This window comes from Homo sapiens, chromosome 16 (assembly GCF_000001405.40).
Source record: "Homo sapiens chromosome 16, GRCh38.p14 Primary Assembly".
Lineage (NCBI taxonomy): Eukaryota > Metazoa > Chordata > Mammalia > Primates > Hominidae > Homo > Homo sapiens.
The window spans coordinates 68,820,481-68,841,522 of NC_000016.10; the positions used below are offsets into that span (position 1 = coordinate 68,820,481).

A 21,042-nucleotide genomic window follows, 5' to 3' on the forward strand; every position below is an offset into this window, starting at 1 on the left:
GCTGGGATTACAGGTGTGCACCACCACGCCCAGCTAATTTTTTGTATTTTTAGTAGAAACGGGGTTTCACCATATTGGCCAAGCTGGTCTTGAACTCCTGACCTTGTGATCTGCCCACCTTGGCCTCCCAGAGTGCTGGGATTACAGGTGTGAGCCACCGTGCCTGGCCTGCTGTTTAATTTTTATGTCCCTCAATTCCTTTACCTGAAAAATGTTAATACCCATGTGGGTGAAATTAGTTAGGTGTTAAATCAGTTAGGTGTGGGTCCTTCCAGACTGCTTCTGTGTATTTAAATACATTTATAGGCTGGGTGCTAGGGTCACACCTGTAATCCCAACACTTTGGGGGTCTGAGGTGGGAGATGGCTTGAGGCCAGGAGTTCAAGACTAGCCTGGGCAACATACTGCCCATAATCTCAAAATGCTGGGATTACAGGCATGAGTTATCATGCTTGGCCTCCTTGAGTTAATTTTAAATGACGTGTGCTCATTGTTAAAAAATAAAATTTACATGAGAAAAAAGTTTTAAAAATTTACAGTCATGCCATCTAGACATATCTATTTATAGGTTTGAGATGGATTCTTCTGTTGTTTTGTATCCGTATCGTATACTAATATTGATGATAGTTCCCTGGGTACCAATTTTTCCTACTACCATATGCTCCGTGTTGTGTCAAGATATAAAAGAAATGCAAACAGAAGTGTGGATGGGCTGGGCGCAGTGGCTCACGCCTATAATCCCAACACTTTCAGAGGCTAAGATGCGAGGATCACTTGAGCTCAAGAGTTCAAGACCAGCCTGAGCAACATGATAAGACCCCCTCTCTACAAAAAAAATTTAAAAACTAGCCAAGCATGGTGGCATGCGCCTGTAGTCTCAGCTACTAGGGAGGCAGAGGTGGGAGATTAAGCCCAGGAGGTAGAGGCTGCAGTGAACTGTGTTCATGCCACTGCATTCCCGCCTGGGTGACAGAGTGAGACTCTGCCTCAAAAAAAAAAAAAAAAGCGTATGTGAACTCCCCAATCTATTTTGAAAACCAATTTGCAGAGACTTCAAAAGACCCAACTCATCCCCTTTGATTTTAAGCTTCTAGTCAGGCTTAAAATTAAAATAAATAAAAAGACTCAATGCTTTGTTAATGACCTCAAATGGCAGGAAAGTGCAGAAAAAGGAGAACTAGGGAAACAACAGGCAGGCAATAGGACTTCTTGGAGTAGTTAAAATTCAGTGAATGAATAACGATATGTGAAGAAGGAGGAGTGTGTTCTTGGTGTGAGGAATAACTTGAATAATTGTTATCAAGGTGGGAATAAGTTGTCTGTGTAAAACGGCCAGAGACCTGCCCACCTGGGAGTGGAGGTCCTTTGGGATTGGTGGGACAGGAGGTTCTGCGGGTGGAGTGGGGCCTGGTGAGGGACCACTGAAGAGCCAGGACAAGATCTAGACTTGGTCTGGTGGAAGGCAATGGGGATTCATTACTGTTGCCAAGCTGCCACATTTTCTGTGTATTTTCTCTTAGGTTCTCCAGTTGCTACTGGAACAGGGACACTTCTGCTGATCCTGTCTGATGTGAATGACAACGCCCCCATACCAGAACCTCGAACTATATTCTTCTGTGAGAGGAATCCAAAGCCTCAGGTCATAAACATCATTGATGCAGACCTTCCTCCCAATACATCTCCCTTCACAGCAGAACTAACACACGGGGCGAGTGCCAACTGGACCATTCAGTACAACGACCCAAGTGGGTACCTGAGTTTTATTTTGGCAACTTTGCTCCAACTGCCATGCTTCCCTTCCCCCAGATCCCCACCTTTCAATTTCCCTTCTCAACTTCTAGATGTCACCCCTTCCATTGATACTTGCTTCCTTGTCCCTTCTGTCTTTGAGGCCTTGCTCCAAAGGTCTTTTTCCTTTCCTGGTATCTAACTTTGTAGCATGCTACCCAGTAATCTAAAACCCAAGCAGGGCTCCCTCTCCCAGCCTCTAGCCACCCTCCACTCCCCTCTCCACTTGCAACCAGGACCATCTTCTCTGCTACCTCCTGCTCCTGGGACCAAACAACACCATTTTTGTGGTTAGCTCCTTCTTGCCAACCAATCGTGAGCTCCCAGATTCATCAGAACTATTCTACCGAGGTGGAGGCAGCTGTCAACTGCCTGGTCAATTTGCATATATGGGCTTCCTACACCTACTTCTCTCTGGGCTTCTATTTCCACCATGACGATGTGGATCTGGAAGGTGTGCACCACTTCTTCCACAAATTGGCCAAGGAGAAGCACAAGGGCGCTGAGTGTCCCTTGAAAATGCAAAACCAGTGTGGCGGCCGCACTGTCTTCCCGGACATCCAGAAGCCATGTAAAGATGAATGGGGTAAAACCCTGGGTGCGATGGAAGTCACTCTGGCCCTGGAGAAGAACCTGAACTGGACCCTTTTGGATCTTCATGCCTTGGGTTCCACCTGCACAGACCCCCATATCTGTGACTTCCTGGAGAGCCACTTCCTAGATGAAAAAGTAAAACTCATCAAGAAGATAGGTGACCACCTGACCAACCTTCACAGGCCAGCCGGCCTCCAGGCCGGGCTGGGCAAAAAGGTTCACCCTCAGGCACACGGGAGCCTACCGAACCCAGCGACATCTGAAGAGCCCCGCTCTGCCTAAGCCTCTCCCTCCAGCCACTAGGCAGCTTTTTTAAACCAACTCTAGAGCCCTCTCCCAAGCCTTAGACCAAATGGAAATAAAGCTTTTTACAGCAAAAAAAAAAAAAAAAAAGTACATACCTAAATAAAACCCAAGCAGCTCTGCTCTCTTCACTCGGCTTGCGGGTGTCTTTAGTTCACTAGCAATTTTATTCTGGAATGAGCTTTTTATTTTCCTCCCCTGGTCTCATCATTTCTTTTTATTGCTTTCTCCAGCCCAAGAATCTATCATTTTGAAGCCAAAGATGGCCTTAGAGGTGGGTGACTACAAAATCAATCTCAAGCTCATGGATAACCAGAATAAAGACCAAGTGACCACCTTAGAGGTCAGCGTGTGTGACTGTGAAGGGGCCGCTGGCGTCTGTAGGAAGGCACAGCCTGTCGAAGCAGGATTGCAAATTCCTGCCATTCTGGGGATTCTTGGAGGAATTCTTGCTTTGCTAAGTAAGTCCAGCTGGCAAGTGACTCAGCCTTTGACTTAAAAAAATGGAGGAGGTTTATTTCCTGGAAATGATTTTTGTTCTTATATTAATAAGGATATAGGTTAGCTGATGTGGGAAAGAGACTCCCAAGTTATGCCAGCCTCCATAAAATAGAAGTTTGTCTCTTACTGAACATTTCAGAGGTAAATGGTCTAAGATGGGAAGGCCATGAAGTCAACAGGGGACCCAGGTTTCTTCTACCTTGTCTCTTTTCATTCTTCAAGACAGTGCATCCCAAGCTTGAGAGCATACAAATCATCTGGGCCTCTTTTTGAACTGGGAAATCTGATCCAGGAGGTCTGGCATAGGGCCACAGATTCTGCATTTCTTTTTTTTTTTTTTTTTTTTTTGAGATGGAGTTTCGCTCTTGTTGCCGAGGCTGGAGTGCAATGGTGTGATCTCAGCTCACTGCACCCTCTGCTTAACAGGTTCAAGCGATTCTCCCGCCTCAGCCTCCTGAGTAGCTGGGACTATGGGCATGTGCCACCACGCCCAGCTAATTTTGTATTTTCAGTAGAGACGGTGTTTCTCCATTTTGGTTAGGCTGGTCTCAGACTCCCGACCTCAGGTGATCCACCCGCCTCAGCCTCCCAAAGTGCTGGGATTACAGGCTTGAGCCACCGCACCCGGCCAGATTCTACATTTCTAACCAGCTCCCAGGCGGTACTGATGTTGCAGTTCCTTAGACCATAGGCAGAGTAGCAAGACCTTGGGGGCTGCCCTCATCAGCGTGGTCTAAGCTAGCCAGCTCACCACCACCACCTCTACATTCCATCCTAGATTGGGGAAGGGGATAACAGAGGAAGTGGAGGCCAAACGACTGGAAGTTGCATATATCACCTCCACTTATATACCATTGGCCCAAACACAGCCACATCTAGCTGCAAGGGAACCTGGAAGCTTCTACTTACAATTGAAAATTGACATGGAGTAGGGGTGGAGTGTAGGGTGAGCAGTGAGTGTCAATGACTAAAAGGATAAAGGAGAAAAAGGATGCTGAGGAAAATTGGCAGTTTCTGCCATAGTCCTTAAACCTGTTTCCATTGGAGCCCACCTGGAGTGAGCCCTAGGGGTGACACAGGAGCTGTTATGGTCAAGGTAAATACTTTTATCATTTACACACAGGGAGAAAGTACTGAATCTATTAAAGGAATAAATTAGCGATGAAAACAGACTATGTGCATCAAAAGACAAAGTATCCATATGGAGGAGTGCACTACATCAGAACTCTGGTAGGGCTTTAAACATGTGAATGATGGAAGAGCAAGCAAATGATTATCACAGCAAATGAGAGCAAGTCAATTAGAAACCTTTGACCTGGTATGGTGGCTCACTCTTTGGGAGACCAGGGTGGGAGGATTGCTTGAAGCCAGGAGTTTGACACCAGCCTGGGCAACAAAGCAAGACTGTCTCTACAAAATAAAAATAAAAAATACATTTTTTTATTAAAAAAAATTTTTTAAAAGAAATGTTTAAAGATCATATATAATTAGTGACTGCAAGGGGTGGTCCAGCTCATGAATGCCTTTGTAGTCAGGGTAGTCAGAAAAGGCTGTTAATTGAGTCTCAAGGACAGTTTTGTGGAAGATGTAAGTGGTTAGGCCACAGGGGCTGGTAGAATTCCAACAGGCAGATGGGTATTTAGGAAGGTTCCCCTCCTAGCAAAGCACAGCAGAGGCTTGAGGAGACTCCTAGAAGAGCAGAGACCAGGCCAAGCTGGTGGGAATGGAAAAAGAATTTTGGAGGGAGCAGTGGGACCAAATCTAGGGTTTTCAATTTAGATTGAGCATGGGTGCCATTGATCCTGCTGCTGCTGCCTCAGTGGACTCCAGGAGAGGGTGCCTTTCAACCTTCCAGAAATGTCTGCTGGGCATCCCATTTGCTTCTGCCCCCTCCTGGTGTCCTCCCAAAGTTGAAGAAAAGGATAGTGCTGTTGAGAATTGAGCAAGCCTTCTGGACTTTCATCCTGCCAGGCTTTACATGGCTTTATTGTGCCATGAGATTAGGTTAATTCATCATTGCCTTGGGCAGGGTAACACAAGCCCTGCCTGCCCACTTCCTAGTCAAATTACATTTCAGTGGCCTGGTCTGCTTTTGGTATAGTGGTTACTGACCAGTACATTCATTCTAAAGGGAATCTTTTTTTTTTTTTTTTTTTTTTTTTAGGCAAGTTCTCATTCTGTGGGCCCGGCTGGAGTGCAGTGGAGTGATCTCAGATCTCAGGTCACTGCAGCCTTGACTTCCGGGGCTCAGGCAATCCTCCCACCTCAGACCCCTGGGTGGCTGGGACCACAGGCATGAGCCACCACACCCAGCTAATTTTTTAATATTTTTTTGTAGAAACAGTGTTTCCTTATGTTGCCCAGGCTGGTCTCAAACTCCTGGTCTCAACCAGTCCTCCCACCTTGGCCTTCCAAAGTGTTGGGATTATAGGCATGAGCCACTGTGCCCAGCCAGGGAATCTTAAAGATTGTAGTTATACTTGAAATATTTTTTTTTTAAATAGGATTACCTAAATTTGCTATGGGTATGTATTTTTTTAGACACTGGGGGTGGGGATTCCCATGTAGAGCAACATTTAAAACAGAGGCAATGCCAGAGTTCAGATGTTCAATTTCAATTTCTTGTATTTTTAACTTCTATGATTATTTTTTCTTTCTTTATTAGAGATGGGTTCTCACTATGTTACTCACATTGGTCTCAAACTCTTGAGCTCAAGTGATCCTCCCACCTTGGCCTCCCAAAGTGCTGGGATTACAGGTGTGAGCCACTCCTCCGGCCAATTTCTTGTTTCTTAAGGGCACAAATGTGCTAGAGGCTGGGCACGGTGGCTCACATCTATAATCTCAACACTTTGGGAGGCTGAGGTGGCAGGATTGCTTGAACCTAGGTTTCAAGATCAGCCTAGGCAACATAGCAAGATCCCATCTCTATTAAAAAAAATTACTAGAGAGACACCAGGAGATCTGAAGCTTTTCATGTTTTCCGCCAATGTTTGATTGCTTACTCTGTGCCAGGCTTTTTCTCAGAGCCTGCGGATACTGGGCTTCTGGCACAGCTGATAAGAGGGGTCATTTTGGAAACGGTAAACTGCCTCTTGCTTTGCATGGATGGGGACTGTGTAGCTCCTATAGTCTTGTTCAGTGCTGTCTCCCTGTGCAGCCAATTCAGTGTTCTTGTTGATGAATCATGGACAAGGGAGTTATGCTGTTTATCTGGATAAGGTTTCTGGCATTTTTCTGGTTTTAGAAATAGGTAGTTGAGGTACATCTGAGAAATCTTTTCCCCAAGTTTATGCAACCTCCTGTTTAAAGATTATGCTTCGGCCGGGCGTGGTGGCTCACGCCTGTAATCTCAGCACTTTGGGAGGCCCAGGTGGGTGGATCACTTGAGGTCAGGAGTTTGAGACCAGCCTGGGCAACATAGTGAAACCCTGTCTCTACTAAAAATACAAAAATTAGCTGGGCATGGTGGCAGGTGCTTGTAGTCCTACCTACTTGGGAGGCTGAGGCAGGAGAATCACTTGAACCCAGGATGTGGTGGTTTCAGTGAGCTGAGATTGCGCCACTACACTCCAGCCTGGGCAACAGAGTGAGACTCTGTCTCAAAATAATAATAAATAAATAAATAAATAAAGATTATGCTTCATAGGGTACAGTATATAGGTACTTGGGCACCCATGGATAGAAAACACATGGAATCTTTTTTTTTTTCATTCACAGTGAATAATATATGTATTTTCTAAGTTAAGTGGTTTCTTTCTGGCTGCTTTAGAGATTTTTTTTTTAAAGTTAAATGTTAATTGTGTATATCCTAGAAATAATCCCAAGATCAAATGTAACCCTTGTGTTAAGCCTTGGAAGTTAAATAGATTTTAAAGCTTGCTTACATGATTCTATCTTAAGAGAAAATAAGAACATACCAGGCAATTTTATAGTCTCTGTCCCACTCCCCATAGCTGGTTATGTATCAATCACATTTGGGCTAACCTAGGAGCCCTGCTCACAAACCTTCAATGGCTCCAACTCAGAATCAAAGCCAAAGTCCTCACAGTGGCCCATATGTCCCTCCCGCCCTGCTTGCCCCTCTGAGCTCTTCTCCATGTCTCTTCCCCTCATGCACCCTGCTACAGCCATGCTGGCCTCCTCACCTTCCCTCCATCACACCAAACATGCTCCTCCTGCCTCAGGACCTCTGTCCTTACTGTTTCCTCTGCCTGGAACACTTTCCCCCAGATTTGGGAAAATGACAGTGATTGAGTTTAAAACCCATCTGAAAGTTAAGGACCATGCTTGAGTTCACATATCACTGTCTACTATGTTGTACTGTACATACCGACTTCAGGGATGTGAGTGTCACGTGGATTGACATCTTCAAGTGTATTGAAGGCAGCTAGTGGCTGTCTAACTGCCCCCTGTCTGGTATGAGGGGTGCTCTGTGATAGCTGCTGCTTCTGGCCTTCTTTATCTTTGGCTCTCAACACTTGCTCTGTCTCCCCCACCATCCCAGTTCTGATTCTGCTGCTCTTGCTGTTTCTTCGGAGGAGAGCGGTGGTCAAAGAGCCCTTACTGCCCCCAGAGGATGACACCCGGGACAACGTTTATTACTATGATGAAGAAGGAGGCGGAGAAGAGGACCAGGTGGGTTTTGAAAACCTTGGTAGCTCAGTGGTGATCTCTTTATTCGGAAGAAGCAATGATTAGTAAGAGGTAGGCATTTGAAACAGCTCTGAATCACTTTGGATATTATCTTTTTAAGGCCTTACCCAAGAAAGTAGACATTGTCATTGACCATCATCATCATCACATCATCACCAACACAGCTAACATTTATTGATCGCATACTGTTCTGCACCTCAGTGAGCGAGCTGAGGCACAGAGAAGCTCAGTAACTTGGCTAAGGTCACACAGCTAGGAAGCGACAGGGCTAAATGGTCTGTCTCAGAGCCTGCCTTCCTCATTGCCATTCTCTGGACGTGAACTTCAGCCAGATTCTCTTTGACATAGAACAACTGGTCTGCTTTGTTTCTTTTGAGTTTTTAGCTAGACCAAACTCCTTTTCTGTCATGGTTATACCTTCAGTCCCTCTGTATTTCCTGATTTTGGAGATGATCTTAACATCTTACCCTGGAGTTGTCCAGGGAACTGTTCAGTGTCTTGGAGAGCCTACTTATTATAGAAAGGGATCCATGGGGGTCTATTACAGAGTCCTGTTTTTGACTGAGGCCACAGAGTGAGGCACAATTTACTGAGCTCCATACAACATAGGGAGGTGGGTGTACAGAGAAAAATATTGTTCTAGATTTCAGGGACTTGTAAGTCTAGTTTGGGGATACCACGTATATTGTATCAGTGAGCAATAGAGCAACCAATCGTGGAATCTCAGCGGCACACAACATGCGTATCTTTCTCATGTACCGTGGGGTAGCTGGAGCAACTGCTGGTCTCATCTAAGCTCATGAGAATCTGTAGGATGGCTGGGGCTCAGCAGATTTAGGCAGAGTTTAGCTGAATGGCTCTAACCTGTGAATTGTGTCCAGGTCTGTTCCATGCAAGTCTCATCTTTGTACCAGAAGCTGGTGCCTTTCAGACCTTTGCCTGTGTCATATGTTACTGTCCCATTGGCTAAGCAAGTCACACAACAAAGCCCCAGATCGATGGATGTATACTTTTCTCACAAGCTGGGGTTGGGAGGGAGTGAATATTTGCCAAACAGTGATCTAATCATCATGTCCTATGAAAATTAGTAAGGCACACAGCCTATATCTGGATCCACACATGCTACTCACAATCCTTTGGGCCATGTTTTTTTCCAGTGCTATTTGGGAGACTTTTAGCTTGAAAACTGTCATTTTGCATTAAACTGGTAAAGATCATACAGTTGGCAGTGAAGGCATCATCCAACCATAATCTATAAACTGAACATAGCCCTGTGTGTATGACTATTTCTTTCCTACTCTTCATTGTACTTCAACCTTTTTTCTCCAAAGGACTTTGACTTGAGCCAGCTGCACAGGGGCCTGGACGCTCGGCCTGAAGTGACTCGTAACGACGTTGCACCAACCCTCATGAGTGTCCCCCGGTATCTTCCCCGCCCTGCCAATCCCGATGAAATTGGAAATTTTATTGATGAAGTAAGTAATCCACGTGGAAAGCCAAAGCATGGCTCATCTCTAAGCTCAGGAGGAGTTGTGTCAAAAATGAGAAAAAGAGTCTTTAGATTCTTTCCTTTACTATGTTTTCAGCTTGCCTGAGCCCTGGAGCCCTGTTTTCCTTTTTCTTTTTTTTTCTTTTTCTTTTTTTTTTTTTTTGAGACGAAGTTTCACTCTTGTTGCCCAGGCTGGAGTGCAATGGCGCAATCTTTGCTCACCACAACCTCTGCCCGGGTTCAAGCGATTCTCCTGCCTCAGCCTCCCAAGTAGCTGGGATTACAGGCATGCACCACCACACTCAGCTAATTTTGTATTTTTAATAGAGGCAGGGTTTCTCCATGTTGGTCAGGCTGGTCTCTAACTCCTGACTCAGGTGATCCACCTGCCTTGGCCTCCCAAAGTGCTGGGATTACAGGTGTGAGCCACCGCACCTGGCAGCCTGTTTTTCTTAATCTGTGTCTCATCTGAATTTTGGATCTAATCGTGCTTCAAATTGCAAAGTCCATGTGGCAAAACCAACAATTGCCTGAAAGGATTTAGTAGATCTAGAAATGAAACTAGGAAGATTCTAAGTAAATTTCATTTTAGTTTCACTAATGGAATTTACTTCCCTTGCCTCCCACTGCTGGTTGGGATATAATGATAAATGTACATGACAAGCCTACCTGAGGATTAGAAAAATAGAATCTGTATTGTATATGTCAGAAATGCATTCAGCTCTAAATACAAGATGCTGAAACAGATGGGAGTAGATTTATCTTATACAAATAGAAAGTTGGGGTGAGCAGTCTAGGCCAGTGCATCAGGCTGTTCCATGTTTCTGCTCCATCATCTTAGCACGTAGACCCTTCTTCTCAGGCTTGTTGTCTCATGATCACAAGATGGCTGCCACACTTCCAGATCTTAAGTCTGTATTCCAGTCAGGAAAAAGTATGAAGAACAAAGCAGAGGGCAAAAGTCTTTCTTCTAGCAAACTGTCTTCTTATTCAACAAGGGAGTTGTCCAACCAGTTATTGGCCAGAACTATCAGAAGGTTGTGCCTGTCTGCAAGGGAGAATAACAAGGCATTAAATTAATTAGCTTAGGATAAGATGAGAAAGAACCCAGTAAAGAAATGGTCCAGCAGGATCTGTTTCCTTAAGTTATGTTCTCTAGTAACTTGCTTGGTTACTGGAATGATTTTCTGGGCTTGTCTGATGGTCCAGTGGCCCTCGGTGAGTCTTCATGGTGAGGTCTGTGTTTGCTTTAGCTTTCTTTTTTTTTTTTTTTTTTTTTTTTTTTGAGACAGAGTCTTGCTCTGTCGCCCAGGCTGGAGTGCAGTGGTGCAATCTCAGCTCACTGCAAGCTCTACCTCCCAGGTTCACACCATTCTCCTGGCTCAGCCTCCCGAGTAGCTGTGCCTACAGGCACCTGCCATCAAGCCTGGCTTTTTTTTTTTTTTTTAATTTTATTTTTAGTAGAGACAGGGTTTCACCATGTTAACCAGATGGTCTCGATCTCCTGACCTCAGGTGATCTGCCTGCCTTGGCCTCCCAAAGTGTTGGGATTACAGGCGTGAGCCACCACGCCCGGACTGCTTTAGCTTTCTATGGGAGCTGTCACTGAGGACTGTGAGGCACTGCAGTGTTAGAAGTGATCAAGCCACATTCATTTTAGCCACTGGAAAAAACAAGAAACAGAAAGAAACCAGTTTAACCATGCCTTTTATTTATTTATTTATTTTTATTTTTATTTTCATTTTTTGAGACAGTTTCACTCTTGTCGCCCAGGCTGGAGTGCAGTGGCGTAATCTTGGCTCACTGCAACCTCTGCCTCCTAGATTCAAGCGATTCTCCTGCCTCAGCCTCCCAAGTAGCTGGGATTACAGGCACCACTACCACGCCCAGCTACTTTTTCTATTTTTAGTACAGATGGGGTTTCATCATATTGGCTAGTCTGGTCTCAAACTCCTGACCTCGGGTGATCTCCCTGCCTCGGCCTCCCAAAGTACTGGGATTATGGGTGTGAGCCACCGCTCCTGACTACAGACCCCTTTTAGATACATCTGGATTCAGGCCTTTCCTCCATTCATACTCATTTGCAAGTCATCACTTGTATTTGCAGTTTTTATTTAAACTATAAAAATAGTATGCTAAAAAAGAACAAGATCATGTCTTTTGAGGAAGCAAGATCATGGGTGGAGCTGGAGGCCATTATCCTTAGCAAACTAATGCAGGAACAGAAAACCAAATACCACGTGTTCTCACTCATATGTGGGAGCTGAATGATGAGAACTCATGGACACAAAGAAGAGAACAACAGACACTGGGGTTCGCTTAAGGGAGGAGAGAGAGAGGAGCAGAAAAGATAACTACTGGGTACTGGGCTAAATACCTGGGTGATGAAATAATCTGTACAACAAATCCCCATGACATGAGTTTACGATTTGTTACCTATATAACAAACCTTCACATGTACTCCCAAACCTAAAAGTTTTTTTTTTTTTAAGTATGCTTGCTATTTTAAAAATATAAATTATGGTGTGGGGGTACACACCTGTAATCCCAGCTACTCAGGAGGCTGAGGCCAGAGAATCGCTTGAACCCAGGAGGTGGAGGATGCAGTGAGCCGAGATCATGCCATTGCACTCTAGCCTTGGTGACAGAGCAAGACTCTGAGACTCCATCTCAAAATAAATAAATATACTTTATTTATTTCATAAAATGAAAATATATAAAGAAAAGGCCGGGTGCAGTGGCTCACGCCTGTAATCCCAGCACTTTGGGAGGCCGAGGCAGGTGGATCACCTGAGATCAGGAGTTAGAGACCAGCCTGGCCAACATGGTGAAACCCCGTTTTTACTAAAAATACAAAAATTAGCCGGGCATGGTGGCGCATGCCTGTAGACCCAGCTACTTGGGAGGCTGAGGCAGGAGAATCGCTTGAACCTGGGAGGCAGATGTTGCAGTGAGCCAAAATCACACCATTGCACTCCAGCCTGTGTGACAAGAGTGAAACCCTGTCTCTAAAAAAAAAGAAAAAGAAAAAAAATACAAGTCCTTCCTTAGTTCCCACACCCCCACTCCCCAGATTTAACTGTTAAGCATTTGGCATTTATCCTTCCAGGCCTTTCTGGGTGGAAATGCAGCCTGCATGCACCAGTATGCAAAGCTTCCAGCTCTGCCCATCCCAGCTGGTGGTGTGGCAGCCCCACTCTGATCTATGGGGACTCCATCCTGACTGGTTGGTGCTTGCATCTCTCCTGCCTACATATAACTCACCATTTCACTTTCTCTTTCCATCAACAACATATCCTGTGCTTCTGCATCCTTCCATGACAGTGTGTATAAATGTACGTTGTTGGTGTTCACTGCTCCGTGGTGTGCCACAAGTCTGGGTGCATTGTCGTACCTTACATATTGCTAGACTTCTTGCCCCAGATGACAGGTGTGCCCTTCCTTTCACTAAAAGATGCTTTTGTCCCTTCTTCTTTAGAATCTGAAAGCGGCTGATACTGACCCCACAGCCCCGCCTTATGATTCTCTGCTCGTGTTTGACTATGAAGGAAGCGGTTCCGAAGCTGCTAGTCTGAGCTCCCTGAACTCCTCAGAGTCAGACAAAGACCAGGACTATGACTACTTGAACGAATGGGGCAATCGCTTCAAGAAGCTGGCTGACATGTACGGAGGCGGCGAGGACGACTAGGGGACTCGAGAGAGGCGGGCCCCAGACCCATGTGCTGGGAAATGCAGAAATCACGTTGCTGGTGGTTTTTCAGCTCCCTTCCCTTGAGATGAGTTTCTGGGGAAAAAAAAGAGACTGGTTAGTGATGCAGTTAGTATAGCTTTATACTCTCTCCACTTTATAGCTCTAATAAGTTTGTGTTAGAAAAGTTTCGACTTATTTCTTAAAGCTTTTTTTTTTTTCCCATCACTCTTTACATGGTGGTGATGTCCAAAAGATACCCAAATTTTAATATTCCAGAAGAACAACTTTAGCATCAGAAGGTTCACCCAGCACCTTGCAGATTTTCTTAAGGAATTTTGTCTCACTTTTAAAAAGAAGGGGAGAAGTCAGCTACTCTAGTTCTGTTGTTTTGTGTATATAATTTTTTAAAAAAAATTTGTGTGCTTCTGCTCATTACTACACTGGTGTGTCCCTCTGCCTTTTTTTTTTTTTTAAGACAGGGTCTCATTCTATCGGCCAGGCTGGAGTGCAGTGGTGCAATCACAGCTCACTGCAGCCTTGTCCTCCCAGGCTCAAGCTATCCTTGCACCTCAGCCTCCCAAGTAGCTGGGACCACAGGCATGCACCACTACGCATGACTAATTTTTTAAATATTTGAGACGGGGTCTCCCTGTGTTACCCAGGCTGGTCTCAAACTCCTGGGCTCAAGTGATCCTCCCATCTTGGCCTCCCAGAGTATTGGGATTACAGACATGAGCCACTGCACCTGCCCAGCTCCCCAACTCCCTGCCATTTTTTAAGAGACAGTTTCGCTCCATCGCCCAGGCCTGGGATGCAGTGATGTGATCATAGCTCACTGTAACCTCAAACTCTGGGGCTCAAGCAGTTCTCCCACCAGCCTCCTTTTTATTTTTTTGTACAGATGGGGTCTTGCTATGTTGCCCAAGCTGGTCTTAAACTCCTGGCCTCAAGCAATCCTTCTGCCTTGGCCCCCCAAAGTGCTGGGATTGTGGGCATGAGCTGCTGTGCCCAGCCTCCATGTTTTAATATCAACTCTCACTCCTGAATTCAGTTGCTTTGCCCAAGATAGGAGTTCTCTGATGCAGAAATTATTGGGCTCTTTTAGGGTAAGAAGTTTGTGTCTTTGTCTGGCCACATCTTGACTAGGTATTGTCTACTCTGAAGACCTTTAATGGCTTCCCTCTTTCATCTCCTGAGTATGTAACTTGCAATGGGCAGCTATCCAGTGACTTGTTCTGAGTAAGTGTGTTCATTAATGTTTATTTAGCTCTGAAGCAAGAGTGATATACTCCAGGACTTAGAATAGTGCCTAAAGTGCTGCAGCCAAAGACAGAGCGGAACTATGAAAAGTGGGCTTGGAGATGGCAGGAGAGCTTGTCATTGAGCCTGGCAATTTAGCAAACTGATGCTGAGGATGATTGAGGTGGGTCTACCTCATCTCTGAAAATTCTGGAAGGAATGGAGGAGTCTCAACATGTGTTTCTGACACAAGATCCGTGGTTTGTACTCAAAGCCCAGAATCCCCAAGTGCCTGCTTTTGATGATGTCTACAGAAAATGCTGGCTGAGCTGAACACATTTGCCCAATTCCAGGTGTGCACAGAAAACCGAGAATATTCAAAATTCCAAATTTTTTTCTTAGGAGCAAGAAGAAAATGTGGCCCTAAAGGGGGTTAGTTGAGGGGTAGGGGGTAGTGAGGATCTTGATTTGGATCTCTTTTTATTTAAATGTGAATTTCAACTTTTGACAATCAAAGAAAAGACTTTTGTTGAAATAGCTTTACTGTTTCTCAAGTGTTTTGGAGAAAAAAATCAACCCTGCAATCACTTTTTGGAATTGTCTTGATTTTTCGGCAGTTCAAGCTATATCGAATATAGTTCTGTGTAGAGAATGTCACTGTAGTTTTGAGTGTATACATGTGTGGGTGCTGATAATTGTGTATTTTCTTTGGGGGTGGAAAAGGAAAACAATTCAAGCTGAGAAAAGTATTCTCAAAGATGCATTTTTATAAATTTTATTAAACAATTTTGTTAAACCATTGTCAAATTTGTTTTATTTGATTCCACCACATTTCCAGTCAAGAGAAAAGATGCATGGAGATGGCCTCAGTCAAAACGTGGAGAAAGAGGCCGGGCGCGGTGGCTCATGCCTGTAATCTCAGCACTTCGGGAGGCCGAGGCAGGTAGATCACTTGAGCTCAGGAGTTTGAGACCAGCCTGGGCAACGTAGTGAAACCCTGTCTCCACAAAAACACAAAAATTAGCTGGGCGTGGTGGCGCGCGCCTGTAGTCCCAGCTACTCGAGAGGCTGAGACATGAGAATCACTTGAACTCAGGAGGCAGAGGTTGCAGTGAGCCGAGGTTGCGCCACTGCACTTCAGCCTAGGTGACAGAGGAGACTCCATCTCAAAAAAATAAAAAAATTTTTAAAAAACTTCATGCTGAAGTGACTTCTCCAGAAGTTTCTATCATTCTACTGGATGAACATGGGAGAAACTACATTCACATGGTAACTTTATTTGAACAGTATCCATCCATGTGGCATGTGATGAAACCAATAAAATTCCCATGTCCACGGGAGACTGTGTGGGCCAAGCTGAAGGACGGGACAGAGCAAAGTTTCAAACGATGTTCTCGGGGTCAGCAAGTGAGTACAGGCCAGTGGTTCTCTGCTGGGGAAGAATGTAGCCCCCTCCTCCATGTGACATTTTGCAATTTCTGGAGTACCTGGGGAGGTGGTCTTGTCACCACATCAAGGCCAGGGGTGCTGCTAAACATCCCTGCACGGGACAGTTCCTCACAACAAAGAATTATCCAGCACAAAATGTCAGCCACTGTTAAGAAACCCTGGTGTAAGCCTAAAACTTTTCTCTGTTGAAGGGGTATGACTTTTTTCTTTGGGTAATTTTTTATTGTAAAATACAACATAAAATTTATGATTTTAGCCCTTTTGTTAAGTTTTCAGACAGGGTCTCACTCTGTCACCCGGGCTGGAGTGCAGTGGCACAATCACGGCTCGCTGCAGCCTCAATCTCCCAGTCACAAATGATCCTCCTCTCTCAGCCTCCCTAGTAGCTGGGACTACAGGTGTTGCACCACTACGCCCAGCTAATTTTAAAAATTGTTTTGTAGAGACAGGGATCTTGCTATGATGCACAGGCTGGTCTTGAACTCCTGGGCTCAAGTGATCTGCCCTCCTTGGCCTCCCAAAGTACTGGGATTACAGGAGTGAGCCACCACGTTGGCCTCATTGTAGCCATTTTTAAGTATACAGTTCAATGACATTAAGTATATTCAAATTGTGTTGCAACCATCACCACTATCTTCAGAACTTTTTCATCATCCCAGACAAACTCTGTACCCATTTATTTTCAACTGTTTTTAAGTGTACAATTCAGTGGTATTAAGTACATTCAAAATATTGTATAACCATCAGCTCTGGTGTTAGAACTTTTTCATCATTCCAAATAAATTTTGTATCTAGTGGGCAATAACTCTCCATTCCTGCCTCTACCCATCCCCTCCTAATCACTATTCTACTTTCCATGTATGTAGACTCCTTTAATCATCCTTTTGCATCTGGCTTTTTTTTTTTTTTTTTTTTTTTGAGACGGAGTCTTGCTCTGTCGCCCAGGCTGGAATGCAGTGGCGCGATCTCCGCTCCCTGCAAGCTCCGCCTCCTGGGTTCACGCCATTCTCCTGCCTCAGCCTCCCGAGTAGCTGGGACTACAGGCGCCCGGCTTATTTGTTTGTTTGTTTGTTTGTTTGTTTGTTTGTTTATGGTATTTTTAGTAGAGACGGGTTTCACCGTGTTAGCCAGGATGGTCTCCATCTCCTGACCTCGTGATCCGCCTGCCTCGGCCTCCCAAAGTGCTGGGATTGCAGGGGTGATCCACCGCACCCGGCCTTATTTTTTATTTTATTTTATTTTTTGAGACAAGGTTCTGCTCTGTTACCCAGGCTAAAGTGCAGTGGCACGATCTTGGCTCATTGCAACCTCCACTTCCCAGGTTCAAGCAATTCTCCTGCCTCAGCCTCCCGAGTAGCTGGGATTACAGGTGCTCACCGCTATGCCCGGCTAATTTTTGTATTTTTAGTACAGACAGGGTTTCACCATGTTGCCCAGGCTGGTCTCCAACTCCTGACCTCAAGTGATCCACCCACCTTGGCCTCCCAAATTGCTGGGATTACAGGCATGAGCTGCCGCGCCTGGCCTGCAGTGAAAAAAAGATATTTTGGGGCCGGGCTTGGTGGCTCACGCCTGTAATCCAGCACTTTGGGAGGCCGAGGCGGGTGGGTCACGAGGTCAGGAGATGGAGACCATCCTGGCTAACACGGTGAAACCCCGTCTCTACTAAAATACAAAAATTAGCGGAGCGTGGTGGCGGGTGCCTGTAGTCCCAGCAACTCAGGAGGCTGAGGCAGGAGAATGGCGTGAACCCGGAAGGCAGAGCTTGCAGTGAGCAGAGATTGTGCCACTGCACTCAAGCCTGGGCAACAGAGCGAGACTCTGTCTCAAAAATAAATATATATAATATAAAATATATAAATATATAAAAATATGTATTTTATACATATATATGGATCCTTTTATCCGTTTTTGAATTGGGTTGTTTGCTGTTGAGTTTTAAAAACATGTATTCTGGAAATTAATCCCTTATCAGATACCTGATTTCTTCACATCCTCCCCAGCACTTGTTCACTTGTTTTGTTTTTTTCTATGTATTTTATAATATTTTTTAATTTTTTTAATTTATTTTGAGATGGGGTCTTGCTCTGTCGCCCAGGCTGGAATGCAGTGGTGCCACCTCGGCTTACTGCAACCTCCGCCTCCCGGGTTCAAGTGATTCTCCTGCCTCAGCCTCCCAGGTAGCTGGGATTACAGGTATGTGCCACCATGCCCAGCTAATTTTTTTGAATTTTTGTAGAGATGGGGTTTCACCATGTTGCCCAGGCTGGTCTTGAACTTCTGACCTCAAGTGATCCACCCTCCTTGGCCTCCCAAAGTGCTGGAATTACAGAACGTGAGGCGGGCACCTGTAATCCTAGCTACTCAGGAGGCTGAGGGGGGAGAATCGCTTGAACCCTGGAGGCTGAGGTTGCAGTGAGCAGAGATCATGCCACTGCACTCCAGCCTGGTTACAGAGCGAGACTCCATCTCCAAAACAAAACAAAAATTAAATTGTTTACAGAGTACTTACTATGTGCGAAGGTCTGTACCAGCAAGGTAATTTTGGTTTTTTTGGAACACGGTCTCCCTCTGTCACCCAAGCTGGACTGCAGCCTCGACCTCACGGGTTCAAGCAATCCTCCCACCCTGCCTCCCAAGAAGCTGGGACAACAGGCATGTGCCACCATGTCCAGCTAAGTTTTATATTTTTTACAGAGATGGAGTTTCACCATGTTGCCCAGGCTGGAAATTTTAACCTCTGAAAAAGTCCATGGTGAAGGCAGTTGCCCCCAGCAAGGGTCTGGAAGCACAGGAGACCTGGGGAACACCTCCTCTGTTCTTTTGCTGGTTCATTAGATGCCAAGACACTAGAGTTGTGCTGTCTGAGTTCAAATCCTGATTCTGTCCTTTCCAGCTATGAGCTTAGATAAGTGACCTGACCTTTCTATGCCTCAGTGTCTTCATCTCTAAAATGAGGGTAATTGGGCCAGGTGCGGTGGCTCATACCTGTAATCCCAGCACTTTGGGAGGCCGAGGTGGGCAGATCACCTGAGGTCAGGAGTTCGAGACCAGCCTGGCCGACTTAGTGAAACCTTGTCTATACTAAAAATACAAAAATTAGCTGGGCGTGTTGGCGCGGCCTGTAGTCCCGGCTACTTGGGAGGCTGAAGCAGGAGAATCGCTTGAACCCGGGAGGCGGAGGAGGTTGCAGTGAGCCAAGATCGCATCACTGCACTCCAGCCTGGGCGACAGAGAGAGACTCTGTCTCAAAAAAAAGAGGGTAATTGTATTTGCTTTATAGTGTTTTGAGCACTAAATGAGTTGATATGTACAAAGCATTTAGAGTGCAGTGGCACGATCTCAGTTCACTGCAACCTCCGCCTCCTGGGGTCACACAATTCTCCTGCCTCAGCCTCCTGAGTAGCTGGAATTACAGGTGTGCCCCACCACACCAGGCTAATTTTTGTATTTTTAGTAGAGACAAGATTTAACCTTGTAAGTTATGCTGGTCTTGAACTCCTGACCTCAGGTGATCTGCCCACCTCCGCCTTCCAAAGTGCTGGGATAACAGGTGTGAGCCACCACGCCCAGCCGTACTTCTGTGTTTTAATAAAGCTGCCAAGAGCAAACCAAGGAAGGGGCTACCAGAATTCAAGTCCTATAAACTAAAATTCCATAAGCTTAAATACAAAATTCTACAGAAACAGGGTACTTAAAGCACATCTGAATAATTTGAGGCTGGGAGAAGCCTGAGCGTGTTTCTTCTTCTTTAGACGAGGGCCAATTTACGCTACAGCCTCGTGGACTCAGGCACTCCTCCAACATCCTATCACACATATTAAAATACACCCAGTGTTCCACATGGGATATATTACTTTGCTGCAAGAATTTTTATGGGATCTTATGACATTGCTTTTGAAATTATGCATGACAATTTGTGTTGGCTCAGCCCACAGAGCCTGAGAGATAAAAACAGAAGAGATGTCTAGGTCTTGTAATACTTTGGGATAAAGGATTCTCAGCTCTGAATATCCTGTAATGATCTTTTGTAAATCCCACACCAGTACTGCCCTTAGACTTAGGCCTGGTGGTCTCCTGGCCCTGGGCCCATGCTTGAGAAGCTCCATCTGGCCACCTCCACCATGCCCCCCACCCTGGGCAAGAAATCTGCCAGGCCTGGGGGACTTGCCCATCCAAATCTCCAAATCCTCACCCTCCTCCAAGACCACACTCCATGTTCTTTGTTTGTTTGTTTTTTGAGACAGAGTCTCACTCTGTCGCCCAGGCTGGAGTGCTGTGGCGCGATCTTGGCTCACTCCTGGGTTCAAGCGATTCTCCTGCCTCAGCCTCCTGAGCAGCTAGGATTACAGGTGTGCACCACCACGCCTGGCTAATTTTTGTATCTTTAGTAGAGATGGGGTTTCACCATGTTGGTCAGGCTGGTCTCGAACTCCTGACTGGCTAATTTTTGTATTTATTTTATAGAGACAGGGTCTCCCTATGTTGCCCAGCCTGGTGTCAAACTCCTGGGCAAAAGAAATCCTCCCACCTCAGCCTCCCAAAGTGCTGGGATTACAGGAATAAACCACCACACCCGGCCCACACTCTGGATTCTGAGGCCCTGGAATTCCCTGCCCAACCATCCCAGGCCTTCTTCTAGGGCTTTGCAGGACTCTTCCCTGGGTCTGCCCTCTGGATGGTGCACTGTGCTCCCCGTCTGAAGTTTTGTTTTGTTTTTTATTTTTTTGAGACAAAGTCTCCCTTTGTCACCAGGCTGGAGTGTAGTGACGCGACCTCGGTTCACTGCAACCTCCGCCTCCCAGGTTCAAGAGGTTCTCCTGCCTCAGCCTCCCGAGTAGCTGGGACTATAGGCATACATCACTATGCCCAGTGAATTTTTGTATTTTTAGTAGAGATGGGGTTTCGCCATGTCGGCCAGGATGGTCTCAATCTCTTGACCTTGTGATCTACCCGCCTCTGCCTCCCAAAGTGCTGGGATTACAGGTGTGAGCCACCGCGCCCGGCCCCCATCTGCAGTTCTAGACCCAGAGGGGCCAAATGGTAGCTGCTCTGTGGAAGGGATGGGGTGTGGGGTGTGGACAGAACCTGAATGTGCAGGGCTGTGGGTGCCCACACATCTAAGTGCCCAGCCTTCATGGTGCAGGATGGAGATGCTGGTGAGAAGAAAAATGGGTCAGACCAGAGGTCTCCATTGTGGAGCTCTGAGACAGTCTGAGAATTTTGAATTCAAACTTGATAGAATTTTCAAGGTAGGAGGATAGAAAATATTTTAGTTACCAGTCTCTTCGCTTGATTTCTAACACTGAAACATTTAGGCTGGCGGCGTGAG

General features: G+C 45.7%; 1 protein-coding gene and 1 pseudogene across 4 annotated transcripts in view; both read left to right on the top strand.

Moving 5' to 3' along the window:
• CDH1 (cadherin 1) overlaps positions 1-15,057 on the top strand; it is a 98,246-nt gene extending 83,189 nt beyond the window's left edge. For all 4 annotated transcript variants that reach the window (NM_001317185.2, NM_004360.5, NM_001317186.2 and 1 more), the window contains 5 exons: positions 1,521-1,745; positions 2,919-3,146; positions 7,694-7,824; positions 9,174-9,317; positions 12,810-15,057. In NM_001317185.2, the coding sequence (NP_001304114.1) occupies positions 1,521-1,745; positions 2,919-3,146; positions 7,694-7,824; positions 9,174-9,317; positions 12,810-13,019 (938 nt within the window). In that variant the 3' untranslated portion in view covers positions 13,020-15,057. The remainder of the gene's footprint in view (positions 1-1,520; positions 1,746-2,918; positions 3,147-7,693; positions 7,825-9,173; positions 9,318-12,809) is intronic.
• On the top strand, positions 1,969-2,752 carry FTLP14 (ferritin light chain pseudogene 14; annotated as a pseudogene).